Source organism: Homo sapiens, chromosome 6 (assembly GCF_000001405.40).
Source record: "Homo sapiens chromosome 6, GRCh38.p14 Primary Assembly".
NCBI classification, from domain to species: Eukaryota; Metazoa; Chordata; class Mammalia; order Primates; family Hominidae; genus Homo; species Homo sapiens.
Window position 1 is genome coordinate 145,935,254 of NC_000006.12, and position 23,310 is coordinate 145,958,563.

At 34.2% G+C, this 23,310-nt stretch overlaps 1 protein-coding gene across 18 annotated transcripts in view; it reads right to left on the minus strand.

Annotated features, from left to right (window-relative positions):
- The window catches only part of SHPRH (SNF2 histone linker PHD RING helicase), a 106,521-nt gene that overhangs the window by 77,416 nt on the left and 5,795 nt on the right, over window positions 1-23,310 (minus strand). For 16 of the 18 annotated variants that reach the window (XR_942393.4, XR_942390.4, XM_047418600.1 and 13 more), the window contains exons 2-12: window positions 19,437-20,101; window positions 17,096-17,225; window positions 15,011-15,229; window positions 13,019-13,097; window positions 12,240-12,390; window positions 10,980-11,088; window positions 10,128-10,384; window positions 7,890-8,549; window positions 6,370-6,621; window positions 5,470-5,548; window positions 25-188 (exon numbers count right to left, since the gene is read on the minus strand). Coding sequence is in view for 16 of the 18 variants with exons in the window: in XM_047418600.1 (XP_047274556.1) it covers window positions 25-188; window positions 5,470-5,548; window positions 6,370-6,621; window positions 7,890-8,549; window positions 10,128-10,384; window positions 10,980-11,088; window positions 12,240-12,390; window positions 13,019-13,097; window positions 15,011-15,229; window positions 17,096-17,225; window positions 19,437-20,069 (2,733 nt within the window). In the remaining 2 variants the exon portion in view is untranslated. Of the gene's footprint in view, window positions 1-24; window positions 189-5,469; window positions 5,549-5,670; window positions 5,771-6,369; window positions 6,622-7,889; window positions 8,550-10,127; window positions 10,385-10,979; window positions 11,089-12,239; window positions 12,391-13,018; window positions 13,098-15,010; window positions 15,230-17,095; window positions 17,226-19,436; window positions 20,102-23,310 lie in introns of those variants that run through there. The other 2 variants (NM_001370328.1, XM_011535722.4) reach the window with 2 other exon arrangements.

Consider the following 23,310-nt stretch of genomic DNA (forward strand, 5'->3'; position numbering starts at 1 on the left):
TCAATAAAAACTTATTGTACTGACTTGGTCAATCACATCTTTCTTTGCAGACCTCCACAGTATCTTGGCAATAAAGCTGTAGAGATGCTGAGGATTCTTCTTGCAGTAAGGCCGATAGAGAAGTCGAACCCACCAGTGTTTGACACAGTAAGGTTCAATACCAAGAAAGACCACTAACCCAAAAAGATCTGAAAAGAAAAAATAAAATACATTGAGGATAACTCTATTACTTCATTACTAGTTTGCAGAAGCTTTTCTACAGACATTACACAGCACATAGAACTTTCCATGAATTAAAATACAGGCTGTATAGGCTCTTAAATCTGAAATTCAATTCCAATTCCATTTATACTTATTGAGCATCTATTCTGCCCTAGGTTTTGGGCTAGGTGCTAAAATAATGTTAGATTTATGCAACCATTCATTACATACAGCTTATACTTAATTCAAAAATCTGAAACTGTTATCAGAAGTTAAACCAAAAAACCACTCAACTGAATGTACTTGGTAAGACATATATAAGAAATACCATGCTCTGAAACCAATAGATGCAAGATTTGCTGGATTGGAAAAAAGAATTTCTAAGCACACAGATGACATGAAGAATATTCTCTGATGCAATATTTCTCATACCCTTTATCTAATAATTCTCCTAGAAAAGAAGCCTAAGAGAGTAATAAAAATATAGATAAGATTTACTTACACAGTGATATTCATAGCAACAATATGTAGAAAAATGACTCAAATAAATAAATTATAGTAATCCCACAAAATAGAACTATTTTTCTTTTCTGATTCAGCATGCCTTGTATTTGTTAGCTTTAGAGCATGGGACTTCTTGTTTATCTCTTTACTGGGCACAGTCAATTTTATATTCTATTCCCCTCCACCTGCCCACTTAACATACCCTAAACAGTTTTCCATATATTTATTTGTGAGGACTTAATGAAAAACTGCTTTGGATATGAAGTGGAAAAAAAAAAAGGAATATAAAATTGTGCATGCAGAATAAGCTCAAATATATAAACATCTATATAGAAAAGATCTTCAAATGAAGACTATGAGTGTAATTTTGTAATTTTCTTTTTGTTTTTTTGAGACAAGGTCTTGCTGTTGCCCAGGCTCGAGTGCAGTGGCACCATCTTAGCTCACTGCAGCCTCAACTTCCTGGGCTCAAGTGATCCTACCTCAGCCTCCCAAGTAGCTGAGATCATAGGTGTGTGCCACCATGCCTGGCTAATTTTTTTATTTTCTGTAGAGACAGGGCTTCCCTATGTTGCCCAGGCTGATCTTGAACTCCTGGGCTCAAGTGATCCTCCCACCTCAGCCTCCCAAAGTGCTGGGATTACAGGTGTGAGCCACCATGTCCGGGTTGTAATTTTCTTTATACTTTTATGTACAGTTCAAATTTTTTCACAATGGGCATATATTCTCTTCAGAAGCCATAAAATAATAATAAAAATATCCTTCCCACACCTACAACACTTATTCTGAAGATGATCAACAAATATTTAGATTGAATTAAGTTACCTTGATGGTTGCTGGGAGTTAGCAACATCTGAAAGAACCAATGCATCACTGCTATGCAAAGGTCCACAGATTTATATTTTTAGCTCAAATCAATTCAATTGCTATATGTTACCTCTTTTTTGAGGTCCCAAAGCCGTCTCAAACTCAACTTGCCGAAATCTCAAATTCATAATCTTTTTGCACACATGCTTCATCTTTTTTTTTTTTTTTTTTTTTTTGAGACAGAGTCTTGCTCTGTCGCCCAGGCTGGAGGGCAACGGTGCAATCTCAGCTCACTGCAACTTCTGCCTCCCAGGTTCAAGCGATTCTCCTGCCTCAGCCTCCCGACTAGCTGGGATTACAGGCGTCTGCCACCATGTCCAGCTAATTTTTGTATTTTTAGTAGAGACGAGGCTTCATCATGTTGGCCAGGCTGGTCTCAAACTCCTGACCTCAGATGATCCACCCGCCTCAGCCTCCCAAAGTGCTGGGATTAGAAGTGTGAGCCACTGGCCCATGCTTCTTTTCTGGTAGTATTCACTGGGGAAACCAGTCACCATTCATGGATTTATGCAAGTCAGAAATCTTGGTATCTCCTGATCTGTCACTGAGGCTTGTTAATTTTGCCTTATCCACTTTTTTCTGTTATCTTTAGGACAAACCTAGTCCAAATCAAAAGTGCCAGCACCACTTGCCTAGATTACTTCTTATAGACAATCAATTAATATCCTAACATCCACTCTTACCCTCTTCTAAGCCACTCTCCACACTGCAACTAGAGTGATCTTTTGAAATACAAATCTAACCACAAAATGACCCCCAACCACTGTGTTTAAATCGTTTCAATAGCTCCTACTACTCTTAAGAAAAAAAATAAAATTCTTTAACAAGGCAAATAACATCCTCCATGGTCCCATCTCTACCTACCTAGTCTCTCTATCCACCATCATCTCCCTAGCTCTTTACATTCTAGCCACGCTATTTCTGCCACATGATCTATTTACATTAATATTTTCTGTTTCCTCTACAATAGAGGATTTTTCCTTTTCCTCTTTACCTAGCTCATGTTAATGTTTCAGATCACAGCTCAGTTGTCAGCATCCCAATTGTATGATGTTATAGAACAAACTATTTTTTTAATGAAACCTGTTATAGTTAGAATTTTCCTTTTTTTCATTTGTGAAAGTTATCTCAATTGCAATTTAATATTTATCTAAGTATTTAAGAAACATTTTAAGAAATGTATGTTCTCCTCTAAGCTGTAAGCTCAATAGATAAGGGATCGTATGTACTTTTGCTCATCATCTGCTATGGTTTGAATGTATCCCCCAAAAGTTCACGTGTTAGAAGCTTAAACTCCAGTGAATAATATTAGGAGGTGGGGCCTAATTATATGTGACTCAGTCATGAGGGTGGAACCCTCATGAGTGGATTAATTGTCATTATTGCAGGAGCGGGTTAGTTATCTCAAGGGTTGGTTGTTACAAAGCGAGTCCAGCCCCTGGTGCTTCTCTCTATCTCATGTACTCCCTTCCACCTTCCACCATGAGATGATCCTCGCCAGTTGCCAGTGTCATGCTCTTAGATGCGCCAGCCTCTAGAATTGCGAGTTAAACAGACTTCCCTTCTTTGTAGTTATCCAGTCTGTGGTATCCTAACAGCAAAAATCTGACTGAGATTCTATCCTACCTCACAAAGAAATAAATCAAATACATAAATAATAACAAATGAAATAATAAATGCATCACAAAGTACTTGTTAAAGTCAATACTTTCGAAGACATTAAAATAAATAAATGACTACATAAATGGAAAATAAAAACAACAAAAGGAGAAGTAGAGGCAGCTATCATTCATTGAATATTTAATATTTGTTAGGTACTGTGCTAAATCCTTTGTATACTTCATCATAATTCATCTTTAAAACACCTTATTTTATAGATAAGAAAAATAAGGACTTAAATGTTTAAGGAATTTGTTTATGGACATACAACTAATAAGTCCGGATGTAAACCCCAGTTTTTATATTCCCCAAAGCCAATGCTTTCTATATTATACAAATGAATACATTATGTAGACATAGGGTGTGGCGGGTGGAAGGAGTTAGGAAGCATTCTTCCATATTTGACATCCCAAGTAGATGACATTATTTCAGTCTGGCAATTTCTGAAGACATTTCTGGGTGTCAGAATTGTAGGAGTGCTACCAGCATCTAGTGGGTAGAAGCTAAACATCCTAAAGCATACAGGACAATTCCCAAAGAAGAATTATCTGGCCCCAAATGTCAATATGGCCAATGTTGAGAAACCCTAGTTTAGCACAAAAAGAAAACAAATGAGACTTCCATGTCCAAATACAACAGAGTAAGTCATGAGCAGGCTAACATTCCTAGTGTGACAACTAGAAAAAAAACATTTAATTGCAAGAATCAGAAAGATACCAGAGAGATATGGAAGTGAGGAAGAAAGACAAAATTCTAGAAAGTCTGGAAAAGCTCTTTTGGAGCTGACTTGGAACACGACGAAACTTGCCTTATTGTGCACATATATTCATGGCTACAAATACATGTCAAAACTTTTCAAATGTGGTATTTTAAACATTTAGTTATATGTCATTTATATCTCAATGAAGTCCAAATAGCTCATTAAAGTTGGTTTTTAAAAAATTAGGAATTTGTTGAATGGTGACAGGTGCTCAAAACACTTGCCAACATCTTGTATCTCCAAAAAAACCGACCCAGGAACTAAGAAATTATTGCTCATACTCTCTCAACATTAAAATGAGAAAAAGTAACTCTGATAGTCATGTACTCTTTTCTGTACCCTCTCAGCTAACTTTTGAGCTGGGTAAGATCTCAGACCTTATTAACGCCTAAACATTTACAATTTCGACAGTTTCCAAACATGAAAGGAGACCACTAAATGTGGTCCTTTACTGAACGTAATATTATTCTATAAATATGTATCTAAATGTAACATTTAAGTGATGCAAATATTTAAATATATACTAGAAAATATTACTAGAAAACCTTTTCCTCCTAAAAATAATCATTGGAAAACACTGCTTTTAAAGGTCAAAGTAATGGATACTGAGATTTTTGTTTTAGCAGAGTGAGTTATGCTGCTGAAAACATACGAAAACTTGGATTTTCAGAAAGATAAGTTTTGAAGATGAGTATTTACTACAGAACTCCAAGTATGTTTAAATTTTGTAATTTAACTACACTTTAATAACAACTTTTAGGGAAATACATAAAACAAGATTTAAACTTTTCATTTTAGATATTCACAACTTGAATAAAGGTTTTAGAAATGCAGTGTCCGTTCTACTGTGATATTGAATAAGATTAAGGTAGAAGGATCATTTCAATGCACGTGTGGAGAGGAGGAAAAAACTAGACACAATCTAAATGCTCAAGTAAAGGAATGGTAGAAACAATAACGGTATATACATATAGTGTGACATTATAAGACTACTAATAACTTATATAATTACTAAAATTATGGCCCTAGTATTCCTGGGTTCACACAATAAAAATTATAGTCTCCATTTTCATAGACACAGTTAATTGAAATTAATTCCCTTTCTCTCTTTTTCTGCCTCTCCCCACCCCCCCCACCCTTTGTTTCTTTTTGGGTTAGATTCTTTGTTTTCTACCTATGACTTTGGAACTCTAATTTTAATTCAGACCTATATCTATGCTGTTTAGGCAGGTACAATAATTGTTCAACTTAAGGCAATGAGACCTCTTAATATATATCGGTCCTCATATACATAAACAGAAAAATCACCTGAGTCCCATTTAAAAAGATAAATGCTTGAAACTATTAGGAGTCAACTATAAAGACATGAATCATCACTTCAATAGGGACTGCAGCAAAGGTTAAGCATAACAATACTTTTCTCTCTAAAAAATGAAGCTTTTCAAATGCATGCAATATGTGAGGAAACCATACATTACCCTCTAATCCTCTCTGTACTGGAGTGCCACTGATACACCATCGATTAATCCCACTCAAACGCTGGGCCATTTCTGCAGCCTGATGAGAGGGAAAAATGAAATAAAAATGAAATCCAGAAAACCACAGAAAGAACACAGAAGTCAGGCATACTCATGAAAAACAGCCCATTAAAAGCTACACTTCTGGTGAGATGTACCTACTTTTATTTAACAGTTATCACACTCAATGTTGAATGTCATATTCAATGGACCATCTTCCAGTACAGTGGTTCTCATTAGTGGGAGGCTGCCACGCAGTCCCCTAAAACAGAGGGGTAGTTCAAATACGTACAAAATGAAAAAGCCCCCTGAATAACTGATCCATGCCCTGCATCACTCTATCCTCCAGATATACTAACAGACATGATTCATACATTCAGTTCAGGTTACAGACTGGCCAAAGACAACAGAATAAAGACATATGACATTCAAAGGCTGAATCAAAATTCTGTCCTCTAAAGTAGTATTTTCTGTTACCATTTGGCCTCTGATTTAAAAGACTGTCAAAGTCAACTTTGGTTCAAAGCTATCAGAGGCTACACGATGAGCTCCCAGTTAGCAGAAATGCTTACAGAAGTTCCTAAACACAGTTTACTTTGATCTGCATCATATATAAACAGACATCTTACTGAAAAATATATATTTCATATAGAGCAATGAGTCACAGAGTACAGAACTAATTTCAAAGGGTTATGTAGTTCAAAGCACAAGAGAAAAGCACAAGTAGTGTTTAATAACAAACTTTTGACCAATATCAGTACTACAGGTTAACTATGCTTAAACTATTAAACTACTCAAGGTCCCCTAATTCCTTTTCACCCTTCTTCCCCAGCCCTCAAAAGATTTTGCAGAAACTCTCACTTTTACTGTGGGACACTCAACCATCTGAGCTTCATCAAGGCAGATCCTCCACCACTCCACAGCTACCAGGGGGCTCGGGATAGCCATATAGCGCTTCTGGTTCCGTAGGCGACGCCCATCCTCACTATTGCTATGTGGGATATCGACATAATTTAATTCTGAACGCAGTACATCATAGGTAATGATAACTATATCCTGTTCTGCCAAAAAATGAGGTTGTAAAAAGCCATCTTTCTTCACTCCTTGATATACCTAGGAAATAATCAATACAGGCAGTTATTGCAAAAAGGCTCACTAAAGGCAATGAAATATTCACTCATTTATACCCTTACTAAGTCCTCTCTATTTTCTTAGGAGCATTCATGCTATGAGACAGATCCCATACCTGTTTGGAGAAAGACATGTTTTAGTGTGGAAGATGAATTACATAACTGATGTGCAACAAACTGTAATAAATGTGAACATGACAGCATCACAGTGGAAAGACCAATTCTGTAGCGGAGAAGGTAAAATCACAGAGGAGTTAAAACCTGAGGTATATCTTAAAGGTTCTCATAGGTGGCAAAAAGAGAAAAGGGCTATATGTAGGTAGGAGGATGGAATCAATAGCATATGTGAAAGCACAATGGTATGAAAAAGTAGAACAATAAGAGCTATTATTTATGAAATGCCTTTTATGTTTCAGATACTGTGCTAAGCATTATCTCCAAACTTCAACAATAATTCTGTTGGTGGTTGTTAATATTCCTATCCCACACATAAGAAAAATAAAGTGACTTGCTCAAAACTGATGGAACTAAGACTCAAAGCTTTGCCTACCCACACAGAATAGAGCTTCTTAACAGCAAAAATTGTTTTGCTTATTACAGTATTCTCCATGCCTATGTAAAGTGGATGAAATACAAAAACCTTCAGTAACACTTGCATGGAAAGAAGGAAGAATGAAATTAGTGAAGGGTATTAATATTAGGAAACAATAACATTACTATGTGCCCAGTACTTGACAAAATCATATCTTCACAAATGACTGGATACTATTTTTAAAACTCAGCAGTTCCTGGCACATAATAAGTGGTCAATAAAGATTTGCTGTATAAGTAAATTCTTATTTTACAGCTGAGGTAACTGAAGCTTTAGAGGATGATTTTGGAGCTAAGAGATGGCAGATCAGATAAGTAGCTCCTATTACACAGTGCTGCCTTTGGATTGCATTTCTCTCTGAAGACTATAAATGCTTATACCAAGAATTTCTCATTTACATACTCAAGAATTTTTAAAAAGCTTCCACATCTTTATACTCAAAATGCTTTAATTGGTGAAATTCTGATGTTAGAAAAGAATAACATTGTACTGTTCTAGTTCTTAGTCTCAATTTTTTTCTTTAAGCTTTGATTTAACATTACTATTAAATCATTCAGTTAGTTTTGAGGATAAACCACAAAGAAACAAAGATTAGGAAACTATCATGAAGAAGCAAAACTTTACATTTTCCTCTCCCTCTTTAGTCCAAGTGGCCTTACCAAGACTCGAAGAGATGACGACCTCACATGCCTGTTGATCTCATCCACCCACTGGTGACAGATGGAACTTGGAGAGATGATCAGAGTTGCTCTTGTTGACACTGGTTCCATTGCAACAAGGCAGTGGGGGCAGTAAAAAGGCTTGATCTTCAGATTTTTCTCATCATAATTCACACACTTTGCATGTTGCCACAGGTGACACTTCAGGCATTGAACACGAGGCTTACGATCTATCTGATCAAGTTCACCACATATACACTCAAAGCGGTAATCAGAGGTGTTAAAGGGACTCATGGTATTAGAAGGTGGTACATCACTATCAGCATGATTTAGAGATTCAGCACAGTCCTCTGTTTCATGTTCTTGGTTGAATTCAGAGATACATGTACTTTTAGACATAGCAACATCAGTTATTCCAGAGTCGCTAGTAGCTGGACAGTGACCTTGTGAATCGGGATTGATAAATGGTTGACTTTTTCCTTTTTTTGTGGATGGAACAAGCTTTTTCCTCAATTTACTGCGATTTCTCCTGGACTTATAATAATAATAGTAAGGATCATCATCATCATCAGAGGTGTCTGATGGCAAGTATTCAGAATCTGTGTCCTTGTTCCCTGATTTTCTAGTTTCTTTCTGAATTTTCCTTGGACTCCCTACTGCCTATGAAAAAAATATTTAATTAATTGATTGCAACTAGTTGCATTTCTGAAATTAAACTCCTGACTTTATGTAAGTACTTCATATAATTATGTAGCAGCCAGTCTTTGCTACCCTTTTCCCTGAGGAGAATCACTCCTGATAAGTGGCTTCCAATCTGCCCTCTGTAAGGACCCTCACTTCATCTCAAAACAAAAGGAAGGCTCTACAAGTGTCAGATTTGGAGAGATGAAAAATTAGAAAGATAAAGGAAGCTACTGATATTTTGTTATTTACCTACTATGATTTAGTCTACCTAAATCAATACAAGACTAGTACTTTTCGAGTACATAAATATACAAATCAGGGCAACTACAAAAACACCAAGTACTAAAATATAGCATCCAAAGAAAGTAAAAGATAATCCACTGGTTACTGCAATTAGCAAATTGATTCCTTCTTTCCTTCCCTTTTCTACATATGTCCTCTCTTACAATTACTTATTAAATGCCAATTCTGTGCCAGTAGTTGTGTTAGATGCTAGGGACACAAATATGAACAATATTTGGCCCCCGGTTTCAAAGGGGTCTACTGGAAAAGTGAGAACAGTAAAAAGTAAAATGATGCTATGGGAATACCTAAGAGGGTTGTACAACATAGTGGGAGTATGATAGGCAGGTAGTTAATAGGGACAGCTTCCTCCAAGGCATATCAGGGCTGAGGTCGAACAGGGGAGTTAAGACACAACATGTAATCAATGGCATTAACTGAGGGAAATCTTCTAGTTTTGGTGGTAGCAGGATTACCAAAAGCACAGTTCACTGCTGTCTTCAGTGCTACCCAAGGATAATATAGACTCCCTACTCCAGAAAATAAATTTTTTGTCTTTTTCTTGGTGGCCGAGCTGGTAGCTCCACATTTTGACTTGTTGTCATTAATCTTTATTTATGATTGCAAATATTATAACTATTTTCCTAAAAGCAAATTGAAATTACTGGCCCAACAGAAGCAGTTTTCTAACAAAATGCAGAAATTGTATAAGATAATAATATAAAGAAAATGAGAATTTAGAAGTTCCAGACCTGCCTGGGCAACATAGTGAGAACCCCGTCTCTACAAAAAAACAAGAAAAATTAACCAGGCATGGTGACATGAGCCTGTACTCACAACTACTTGGGAAGCTAAGGCAAGATGACAGCTTGGCACAGGAGTTCAAGGCTGCAGCTAGCTATGACCACTGCATTCTAGCCAGGGCAATAGATGCCCTGTGTCTTAAAAAAATAATAAAAATAAATAATACAGAAGATGCTTTATACTCTATAATACGCTTAGCCAACTAGTTTTTTAATTCACTCAATAAATATCTGAGTATTTGTTACGTGCCAAGCATTATTCTCTAGGTTTAATGATAGCCAAAGTAAAGTTACTCTCACGGAGTTTATATCCACAAAGTAGAAAGTAGAAGTTACAGATATAAGTACTTTTCCTATTTTTTTATCTTCAGATCGTAAGAGTTTCAGTTTCAAGGTGGGATCTGTCAATGTACTCAGTAAGGTATCACATACGTGTACTTAATATAGAGCTGAACTTAAGCTCTGTTACCTGCTTTTTTGTTTTATCACATATATCCTCTTCCTTGTAATTCTTTCCCAATGTAAAAGTCCCAGAAAAACCATGGCCTTTGATCTGTTTCACGAGACCTTCAAAAATTAAACATTTCAGCATCCGTTTCAAAAGACTCCTGTTCCGTTGAACATCGTATCTATATATAGAACTGACATACTTATAGATGGAAAGGATGGACACTCCTTTTTTTCCATTCATTTCTTTCACAGCTGTCAGTATCATCACACGTGTAGCTAAATGTAAAAGGATATGCTAAATCAGTCAAAATAATTAAAATGAAAAGAAAGTAAAACTTGGTTAATCTTAATCTGCATGAGGACTGAGTTAAGAAAGAAATAAATCAAAGATTTATTACAGCAGAGTGCCATTTTGAAAAAATATGTAATAAAAATGTATCTCAGCATATTAAGAAACAAATTACTGTAATAAAAATAATCAAAGGAAGAATTACTCATATTGAATTGTTAATACTATAAAACAATCATTCAAAATTATAAAAGAAAACTCTCACAATTATTTAAGTATACGCTACCATTAGTATGCGAAACATTCATTTCCTAAAAGATAAATAAAGCCTGGTTTAAACTGTAAGCTAAAGAGATTTAAATATAACAGACTGAGCAAGAACTACCTGGGCCAAGTCAAACAAAATAATACATCTTTACTTTTGTTAAGATATTATGACTTGTAATTGAATTCATTTATCAAAAGCATATATAACTGTAAAAACAATTGTTTATAACAATTACAAGATATCTCTAAGGATTGCAAGAACTCTAGCAAAGATCACTATAAGAAGGTATTTCCTTTAAGAGATGTCTTACTTACGAGGGCATTGAACTTTTTCTTTTGGTTCAAATTCGATATTCTGGATTTCTGTCTTTTTCAGTTTTCCTCCAAAATAATGTGACGGAATAAAATAATTCACCACTTTTCCCTGATACAAACAACAGTCAGTAGTTACACAGTGTTTTGCTTTCAGTATTCTGAATTGCTTATTGAAATTAACTTTCCTTCTTTATGGAAATGCAAAACAGTTCTAAAAAAATTGCAAGAGAAAGGGCCAAATAGCTGTAGATACATACACAGTTTTATTTCTGAGTTTACAGCTAGCTATCACTTAAAAAATTGTGCATATTATCTTAAATTACCTAAATGTTATGTGTGGAACCTCTGAAATTAACTTTTAAAGGTATATTTAAATATAAAATTAACCCATTGAATTTATAATAATATGAAAATAACTTGGAATTAAAATAGTAATGAGTAGGAAATCTCAGAAAGAAGTTACTGATAGTTAAGTCAATATATTCCAAGTCATTTGTCTACAAAAAAAACATTTTTTTTTTAAATTTTCTACTCAAATCTGAAAGGCTAATTCTGCAAACTTGACCCTACTGAAAGATAACATAATGCTAAAGCTGTGAGACTGGTGGGTCCTAGAGGTAATTAATTATAATTATACCTTTAACTACTGACTTCATTTCAGCAAGATTTAATGTAAGGGCTGATTTCAGATTTCATTACTAGAAAATATGAGCTATATACTATATTTGCCTTAGTGGACTTTGTTTCTGTAACTCTAAAATTTATATTTTTAAACACAATTATGTATTTTGGGACAAGGACTTGAAGTTTGTTTCATTTAGCAATCTATTTACTAAGCTACTTGTTCTTTAACAAAGTTCTAATTATTTGGTTCTAAGATTTATATATATGAGATTTGTATAACATTTTTAAATAGCTCTTAAAAATATTTAGTAGTAATATGGAGACTTTATTAGTGACAAAACATTTGAGGAGTCAACAGTACTTTTGTAAAGGAGTTTCTCTGCCAACTAGAAGAAAGTTCAGTAAGTGATCACAAATTCTCTTCCTAGTTGGCCAACATTACTTCAAAAATAAACCTTCTGGGTCACAAACACCCCATTCTCTCTGCCCACTTGAAGTTAACTAACCACTAATATAAATCATTACCCACAGAGTGAACAGAAAGTGTTGACTTAAGTGCCAAGCAAATGTTCAACATACGATGCTTTTCGAGAACATATGTCCCCTGCTTTTGCAAGCCCTACTATACCCTCCTACCTCGGGAAGAGTGAGAGCATCTTGCTTGACATCTTGTCGAGTATGTGTCAGAATCAGAGCCAAAACCTCCACTGTCTTTCCAAGACCCATCTCATCTGCTAAAATTCCACCAAGCAACTGCGGCCCAGAATTTGGGTACTCACGAATGATGCTGAGGAAAAAAACAAGATAAATCACATCATAGGAATGTGAATACAAATTACAATGTTCCTAATTACTTTTCCTAAAGAGAACTGGAAGCAATGCATAAAGTCTAAGTTTATTGAAACTATATTTTAGGGCAAAACAATTCAAACCTTAGATTACAAACATTAGAACTGTGATAACCAAAAAAACTGCCTGAGCTGACAAGTAACTCTGCAGAAATGAGTGGTAGTTAAAAGAGAACACGTCTGCCTTCTTTCTATGACCTTTATGAATCTATGAATAAAAAAAAATACAAAGGGCAATAACTACTATTCATTCATGATGTTTAATGATTACTAAGAAAAAATAAAACTGACCCCATAATAAACAAGATAACATTTTTACTTTAAATAATAATCTCTTTTAGTCTTGATAACTAAGCACCTTATGTCTATTATTCCAAATTCATTTACTGAAAAATGACAAGTGCTATTAATTCTAAATCTATCCTATCCATAGATATGTCTAATCAAGACTTCACCTTTGATTCCTTCATGAGGTAGAGTCAAAGTTACAGATATGCTAACAATCTCAGACAGTTTTTCATTATATTTATTTTTTAAATCAAGCATATAAGTAAAATTTTGCCTTACCAGCCTGTATATGGATTATAGTAGAGTTTCAGACCCTCAGATGTAACAATCTCTCGCCATAAGAAGTGCAGGGCACTTTCTAAAGAAAAATATAATCATAATAACAAATTTTTGTTTTCCCTTCAGTCAGATAATCACATTAAAAAAAGAATAGGTTAACAGTGAGGATACTCTGGCATAGTGATACCCATATTCTTGTGAAATCTCATTCTGGAAAAGCCACATACTTAACACATGAGTAAAAAGCTAAAAGTCCCTCTATTTCCTTTCTTCTGATATTACTCTTTAGCTCCCTTTGTTTTGGGCACAAATCCACATCAGCAAATAATAGGACAGATAAGCAAAGTGTGGCAGATTACAGAGAATTAACAGGAAAACTAATACATATAACCAGCTCCTACCTGATGAATGAGTCTATTTTTAATAAATCTTGCAATAAATTATATGAAGTCTTTGAATAACTCAATAGACATATGCTAGGTGGCTAAATACATTTACCCGAATCAGACCTGACCTCTTCTACGGGTCTGAGAGTGGGAAGAAAGGCTTACTTAACTGGGAAAAAAATATCTAAAACCATAACTCAGAAGTGCTGAGTTTGTTTCTACCAGAATCTTCCACTAGCCTTCTCCTTAATATTTTAACTTATTTAAACCAACTGCCAAATAAGTAGCATGTCTCTACCCACCAATGAAACAGCAAGTAATTTTTAATTGGCTTCTTTAGAGATTAATAGATATTTTATATTTTTATATTCTAGAATAAAATGGCCATTAAAAATTCAAAAAACTATGGATGTTGGCACGAAGCCAGTAAAAAGGGAATGCTTTTACACGGCTGATGGGAATGCAAATTAGTACAATCTCTATGGAAAACAGTATGGAGATTTCTCAAAGAACTAAAAGTAGATCTATCATTCACTCCAGAACACTACTGGGTATCTACCCAAAGTGAAACAAGTCATTATATCAAAAAGTCACCCATGCTTACATGTTTATTGAAGTACAAATTCACAATTGCAAAGATATGAAATCAACTTAAGTGCCCATCAACCAATGAGTGGATAAAGAAAATGTGTGTGGAGGGGGGCAGGTGTGTATACACACCATGGAAACCATGGAATACTATACAGCCACAAAAAAGAATGAAATAATGTCTTTTGCAGCAACTTGCATGAAAATGGAGGCCATTATCCCAAGTGAAGTAACTCTGGAACAGAAAAACAAATACCACATGTTCTTACTTACAAGTGTGAGCTAAGCTATAAGTACATGGGGGCATACAGAATAGTATAACGGATACTGGAAACTCAGAAGGGAAGTGAGGGATGAAAAATTACATAGTGGGTACGATATACACTATTCAGGTGATGGGTATACTAAAAGCCCAGACTTCACCACTATGCAATTCATCCATGTAACCAAAAACCACTTTTACCCCCACAAAGTTATTGAAAAAAGACAGCAATAAAGAAGTGGCATAAATGCCTCCCGTAAAACTACTACTTTCATAAAAATACTCAACAGATGACATTTTATTACTGTAAAGAAAAAAATGCAAAGTCTAGGAAAATTCATCACACATAAGTCTCCTACTTTTGTAAATTTGCTTTCTGTCACCAACATTCACCATTACATTGTGAGTTTCTTGCAGATGGTCAGTAAGATTCCCACTGGACCAGATTCTAAAGAGCAATTCTTTGTTTGAAAGGAATGTAAAAAAAATTTCTTGGTTTTTAAAAATTCCAATTGAGGCAGGATTGATTTCCTTTTGGCAAGAAAAACCAGTACAAACTTTTATGAATGAAGAAACTCACAAATTCATTTTTCTAGATTTCAATTTTAAAGAATTTCTTAGAAAATAATTTTATGGCACCCATTCTATCTTATATTTTCAGGATGTTTATTTTAATGATCAATTTCACCCTGCCCTAATTGTCTCTGATGTAATCTCTCTAATCAATTGGACTTTCTTTAAACATCTTATTCTTACCAGTAGCAGGACTGCTTCTGAAACACTCTTGTTGTAGCATCCAATTGACAGCCTCTCTTTGGTAGGGTCTCAACACAGGGATCAATGCAGGATGCTGGACATCCACTTGGATGGACTGCGTTTCTTGCTGATGTGTTTGTTTCACAAAGTGATACAGCTCGTCAATGTCTTGTCCCTCTGGCTCACTCTCCGGATCATCTTCATCCTCTTCCAACACATCTGTACATCACACAGCAAATGTACTCAAAAACTGATAGGTTTTTTCTAACTATAAGCAATTCTTATTCTAAGAGCATACAATGAACTTGCCCAACTCTGGGGCCTTGCTCAGTGTGTTTTGTCACTGAAAGGCCCTATCTTTAATTCTTCATTAATCAAAAATCTACTCATCCATTCTTCAAGAAAGTTTAACTGATACTTTTTCCATGGCATTTTCTTTTGTTTTCCCTGGCTGGAATTATGTTCTCCTCTGTGGATACAGTATTATTACATTGTAATCTATCTGGTACTGCAAACATTTATGTCCACTGGTCCTTTCCCCAGGGTAACAAAGGCAAAGTTTTTCATTTTTGTAGCCCCTCAGAGAAGCTGACACGTAGCTGACACGTGTATTGTCTATTGTGGATGTTTTATAAACATTTGAGGAACTCAATGTGAATACTGTTTGAAGTTTATATAGGAACAACTTACTTTACTTTTGTAATTTTAACATACAAAATCCATATGGAGACATAACTGTTCTATGCCCAATAAGAAATGGGTTCTCATTTTATTTCTTATGCTAGAAAAGGATAGGCATTTGGTAGCAGTAGCAGCCAACTGGAAGACAAGTGATTATGTTATTAATGCAAATTTGTAAAAACACTAAGTTCACTTGGTGGGCACAATTGTTCTGTGGAAGAAGATTTATACTTACTATAACATGAAAAAAGTAATAAAAACCTTGAACATATTTACAAACTCCTTTCAGCTAATGGTTCTTTATTAAAAACATAATTCTTTCAAGGTGAAAAAGTATATCATTTATTTCTGAATTGCTTTGAAAGAGGCCTATATACTTTTATAGGACATACCTCATAACTTCTAAAACTAAAAGATGACACCAAAAAATTCACAACTTATTTTTTTCCAATAAATATGCCATGTAAAATTTCCAAAACTTCACAATTAATGTACAGCTTTATGCTCAGTTGTTTTAGACTTTTACTATAATTATATAATCTAAGATTAATAGCTAAATTTGAAGTTTTCCTTAGATACCAGGCTTTAAAATGAACAAATTGTAATATTTTTAAAAGGCCATAAGTTTAAAAACTCTAGATGTACTTAAATTCATTCCTTCTAATCCCGAAACCAGAGATTTCCTAATTTAAAGTATCTAACTTGCAAAACGATTTACTATTACTGATATTATAAAGCATTGCAAAGAATGTACTAGAGAAATAACAATCGAAGTTAGAAACTGATTTTCAAATACTCCAGTATGACAATGTTCTATAATTTGCACCTGAAATAATGCTGACCCACCATGAGCAGAACTTGGAGAATTTGGGCTGTTTTTCCAGTAGTGTTGATGAGCTGCACCAAGCCATCCACACTCTCCCAAGGTGACCAATGGCAGACAACTCTGAATCTGCAGTCCTGACCAAAGATGCAACGTCTTGCCAAGAAACAGAGCAAAGTTATCTGGTCTTTATGGGAACCAGGCTTTTGAAATTATTTGTCAGACTGCAAAGGAGAGGTGGAATAAACGCCAGCCAAGAATTTCTGGCCCATGACAAAATAAAAGCACAGGAATAATGCAAAAATCCCAACCAGCTCAGATCCCTTTAGACTCTGCCTTTTGACTTGCATATTGACTCCGCAAATATTTCTTTAATATTTAATATAAGGTAAGCACAGAGTTAACCAAAGAAACAAATTATATTAGTGGGTGCATTTCAAATAAGTATAATTTGCCATATAATCATTTAATTTTTATTATGGCTTTATTAGCTGTTTTTCTGATTGTTATGTCCAGGGGTTAGAGGAAAAAACTCACAACTCCTAAGTAATAGCAATTTTTAAGTTTACTGTAAATATTACCTGGAATAATAGAATTGTGTAACTTTTCCATTACTTTCTTCATGAGCTGATTGAACTTTTTCATTCTTGAATTTGCATCACTCAAGAAGTCTAGTTTTGCTAGGCCAGCTTCCAAAAGATAAATTCCAACCTAAAAACAATTAATCAAAATAAAAGTAGTTTCATTTGAAATATACCATTCTTTATGAGGACATAAGCAAGAAAAAATTAGCATCACTACTTTTAAAGGTATTCATAGCATGTGTGACACAAACAATAAATACATGCCTACCAAATTTCCCCCACGTGTTTCATTTTCACTAACAAATTATAAATGTAAGTGCCTACAATGTACAATTCGAGTTGCTGGAAAAAAATATTCCCCTAACTGAAATCGAACCTGGGAGAATGTGATAAGAACACCTAGTTCTATCTACCAATGCAATGATTCCCAAAACTGATGAATTAATCAGTCAAGTTTGTTAAAAATGCCGATTTCCCCAGAAGATTATGACATACATGCTAGGAATCTTCTGCACAGTTAGGTTTGGGCATCCTCATTACTGAATCAAACACTAAAACGTGTAAAAAAACAGACCTTGATTAATGTTAATATTTTGACCCTAGTGAAGCAATGTGGTATGAAGTTTTACAGTTGAAAGACTTGATTTTGAATACTGGCATTGATATTTGGAAGCTAAATGAATTTGAGAAAAATAACCTATTGATTTTGACCTAAGTGTTCTCATTTACAAAATGGAGAGAAGTCCATCTTAAATAATATAACTATAAAAGTTTCTAATGGTAGACACTCAATAAATGTTAATTCCCTTTACTTCATGTTGACTATGTTGTACCTGACTCCCTAATCACTGAGAATCTCATATTCTTTCACTACAGAACAGGAATCCACCAGCCTTACACAGAAATGAATGACAAAGAGTGTATTTCATTACTGCTAGTATTCTGTCTTGGCTCGCTTGGTGATGTCTTACTACAGCAGCAATAAATGTTTAAATATTTGTAAAATTCAGGATCAGGAAAAACAGAATAGATTAACACTTGGTCTGTAGGGAACGTAGATAGAACACAGATATGTGAGTCATAAATTGTTACATACTTGTTATCACTGAGCCACAATTTTGGCAAAATCAGTAAAGAGAGGGAATGTTTGATTACATAGTTTCACTGTACAGGGAAAAATTAATTGGAGTCTAATAATTCTAAATGTTCTCCTTTCCTTCTGACAATTCTAAAACTATAACTAAGGTTATCGATGCAAGAAATATATGAGACAGTTTTCAGTTAAACAACATGAAATTAACATTTTAAATTTTCAGGTTTAGCATAAAAGCATATTAACTTGCTTCACAGTTTACAAAGTATACTTTCTTACATTATCTGGCCTGATTTTCAACACAATTCTATGCTGTAAGAAGAATGGGTATTATTTACATTTCATAAAGAAACTGAAATTAGAGCATTTAAATGATTCACATAAAGTTATTTGGCCAGTGAATGACAGAGACTGAAATAAATTACAAATTTATTCATTCATCTACTGAAAATTTAGGTACCAGGTACTTTACTAGGCTGTAAAGATGAAAGGCTTCATAGTTTAGCAGAGGGGAATGATCTAAAATGTTAAGTATGTGACAAGCCGCCAAGGCCAAAAAAAAAAATCTACCAGAGATTCTGAGGAGAGGGCACATAATACTACCAATAGATTTAAGAAACGATCTCCCTGGGTGAATTAAATGCTATACTAAATATTAAAGAATAACCAGGAATTACCAGGGAAGGGGAAGGGAACAACTCAAGCAGAAGGAACTATAAGAACAAAAGCAAAGACGCAGAAAGTCAGTGTGGTATATGGAGAAAATAAATCAATTTGGAGTTTCTGGGACAAAATAAAAAGCAGAGTAATAAAGGGTAAGGCTCAAGGGCTTGTCAAGGGAGGAACTTGTGTGCCAGATTAGAAAGATTATACTTAATTCTGTAGGCAGTAATGGGTAGAATTTCATTTGCATTCAATCATACAATTCCAGAGACAAAATCGAAGCATTTGAAAAGGCAAAATAGCAAACAGATAAATGGTTAAATGACTGCTGCAGTAAGAGGAACTGATGATGAGGACCAAAACAAGTCACTGAAAGTAGAGATGGAAGATCTTGAAAAAGTGTAGCCTGAAAATGATTAGTTGTAACATACTTTGAATAGTTATTAAAAGCTTAAAGTGTACTTTGAAACTTAACAATGAAAGGCTTATTGCTGGCTTTTCAGACTTCTCTCACAAGTTAATTTAAAATTGGACTGCCAATGTAGAAGAGCCTCAAAAAAGACACCACAAAAAACTGAGTACCTTGATAATGTGATTTCCTTCTGGTTTCTGATAGAGTTTTATTCTTCTCTTCTTTTGTAGCCACCCCAAATCTTCTAACATTTCACCACTGAAGGATGACTCCACCAGAATACCCTTGTCACAAATACTCATCGGTTCTTTTTTTTGTTTCTCTACATCTTCACCTTTTGAATGAACATAAATCAGGAACTGATTGCTTGACTCTGAACTCATCAATGTAATACTCCTTTCGGAAAAATTTTCAATTAAACTCTGTGCAGGAAGAAGCTGAAGAGTTAATTCTCCTAGAAATGCTTTCCAGGAATTATCAAAATGATAGGGAGAAATCACAATATTTAACTTTACAGACAAAGGGGAAAAAATACCAACAGTCTCTTCTTTTTCAATTGGTTTTGAGAAGCTCACCACTTTTGAACACCTCTTCTTATCTCTGTGAGCCACTTCTTCCTTTAGACTATCACTTAGAATGATATAATGAGCAGAAGAGGTATCTGAACCTGGGCAGGGCTGCTCGTCATCATCACTTATGATGATAGGTTCATTCCTTCTGTCCTCATGCATATTCCAATGAAGCTGCTGCCTCTTTTCCTCATCTACCCTCACTGGAGGAGCACGTTTCCGTCGGCTGCTCATTTTCAAGTTTTCTTGGCTGGTAACTGTGAACTCTAGAGGACAAATGAAACAACAGGAGGTATAACAAGAGATGATTTAGTATTTAAGGGTTACCAGATGAGAAATTCAGCATAAATTCATAGCCCATAAACATAATATGAAATCTTCTGTGAGATATAAGGCAATGAGTAATTTTTTTACCAGGTCATTATGACTAAGGAATGAACATATTAACCATAATCTCATTTATCAAATAAATTCTAATGGTTTTGCTAGTCTTTAATAGTAAAGGCAATTTGTTGTATAAAATAAAATAAATTGTAGAAATACATTTAATAAGCAATATAATAGGAAGGTAAATCTCTCAATCCCAAGTAATTTAACTGCCCCTCAGAACAAAGCCCAACAATACTTAAAAGAGCGAAACAAAATCCAACACAAATGTCTGGCATCAAATCTAAAATTATCAGGCACGCAAAAAAAATGAAAATAAAACAGAAAAATAAGACCCATTACAAGAAAAAAATCAAAAAGCCCCAGAAAAGACACAGATGATATAATTAGCAGAAACAAACATTCAAACAGCTACTGTAAATATTCTCAATATGTTAAAGGTAGAGGAAAACATGAATATGACAAAGAAAAATGATAGATATACAAGTGACTCCTATAGAATTTATGCAGATGGAAATGCAACATCTAAAACGAAAAACACATTGTATGAGATTACCAGCAGATTAGAAATGGCAAAGAAAAAAAGAAGCAGAATAAGCTTAAACAATGGAAACAACAGTAACAACAGAAACTGTCAAAAATGAAGTAGAGATAAACAAAGACTGAAAAAACAATAAATAGAACATCAGAAACCTACTAGACAATGTTAAGGAGTCAAACATGCATAAAACTGGAATCTCAGCAGCAAAGAATGGAAAGGATACAAAAAACTTTTTGAAAAAATCATGCATGAAAATTTTCCAACTTCTATAAAAACCATCAACTCAGAAAACCAAGAAGCTCAATGAAACCCAATCAGGGCAAACATAAAGAACAATCACAATAAGGTATGCCATAATTAAATTACTGAAAAGTGAGGACTTCTCTCCAGATTGGCCCTATTTCTCTGGTTTAGACACTGCTCCCACCCCACAGCTCTAAACCCAGCAAAATATCTTTCAAAAATGAAGGTGAAAAAAAGATCAACAAAAGCCAAAAGGACTTATCACCTGTATACCTACAATCTAAGTAATGTAAGAAGCGCTTGGGTAGAAGAAATATGACATCAGATGGAAATCTGGATCCACACACAAGGAAATAAAAAGCAAAAACAAAAAATATGTGTATAAATATAGTAAACTTTTTTCTTGATTTTTAAATTTCTGTAAAAGATAACTTACTATACTTTCATTCTGAAAATTTTCAAGCATACATAAAAATTTAGAAAATAGTATAACAGTATAATCAGAGATCTATACAGTGTACTATGTTCATGGACTAGAAGACTCAAAATGTTCAGATGTCAATTTCTTAGTACTGACCTATAGAAAAGCAATCCCATTCAAAATTCCAACAGGTTTGTTCTGTAGAAACTGACAACCTGATGTTAAAATTTATACTAAAATGCCTACAATACAGGAAAGTCAATATAATTTTAGAAAAGAAAAATAAAGTTGAATGACTTACACTGATTCCAAGACATATGTCAAAAGAAATAAAAATGGTGCAGTAGTGGTGTAAAGACCAACATATAGATCAAGGGAAATGTCCTGTAGTGGACCCACACATGGATGGTCAATTGATTTTTGAAAGAAGTTCAGAGGCAGTCAATGGGAAAGGTATCCTTTTAGTAAATGGATACCAATATGCAATGAAATGAAGCTTTACCTCCTAAAATGTAAGAATTAACTAAAAATAGATAATAAACTATAAAAGCTAAAACTAAAACTTCTCAAAGAAAACAGAGGAGAAAACCTAAATGACATTGGATTAGCCCAAAAAAAAGGCACAAAAATTTTTAAGCAGGAAACAAAAACCATAGACTATGTAAGAATATGATAAACTAAGTTTCATCAAAATTAAATATTTTGGTTCTTCAAAAGATACTGTCATCAAAATATGACAGCAAGTCACAGATGGGAGAAAATATTAGCAAATCAAGTATCTGATGAAGGATATGTTTGCAGAATATATAAAGAACTCTCACAAATTAATAGTAAGACAAACATTTAAAAAAGTCAAAAATTTTGAATAGACATTTCACCAAAGATGACCTATAAGTGTAAAATAAGCATATGAAAATATTTTCACCAGCATCAGTCATTAAAGCAATACAAATTCAACCCACAAATCACAATGAGATGCCACTATTCATATACTAAAATAGTCAAAAATTTAAAACACTGAGAGTATGGCTCAAACAGAACTGAACTCTCCAACATTTGAACACAGCACAGTCACTTTGGAAAAGTATCAGTTTCTAATAAAATTGAATATAACTTACTATGCAGCCTAGTAATCCCTCTCTTAGGTATTTATCCAAGAGAAATCAAAACATAAATCCACAAAAATTTAAACTTGAATGTTAACAGCTTTACTATTAAAAGCCCCAAACTGGAAGAAAACCCAAATGTCCATCAACTGGTGAATGGACAAATTGTGGCATAGTCACACAATGGAATACTATTCTGTGATAAAAAGAGACTTCTGTAAAATAACCTGAATGAACTGTTAAAGCATTATGCTAAACTGAAGAAAGCTAGATGTGAAAGACTATATACTATATGATTCCATTTACATGAAATTCTAGAAATGGCAAAAACCTGATTGCAGAAAGTAGATGAGTGGTTACCAGGGGCAAGGAAGTATAAAGAGGTGACTGACAGTAAAGGAGCAGGAAGGCAGGCTTTGGGGTGACATAAATGTTCAACACATGATTGCAGAGTATACATCTGTCAAAACTCATCAAATTATATACTTTAAATTGAATTTTCTTATACATAAATTATATCATAAAGTTGATTTAAAGAGCAAAAACAAAAAGATGCACGAGATTTAGAAATTTTAATATTAAGTATAACTTTATTCAATAAATCTGAAAAATCTAGATAAAATGATAAATTATAAAGTGATAAAATTTTGCTAACAAAATACAAATGAACAAAACTGGCCCAAGAAGGAAAATATGAATAGACCAATAACCATAAAAGAAACTAAAGTGACATTATTTACCTGCCTAAGGTCTATCCTCCTTCCCTGATGACTGAAC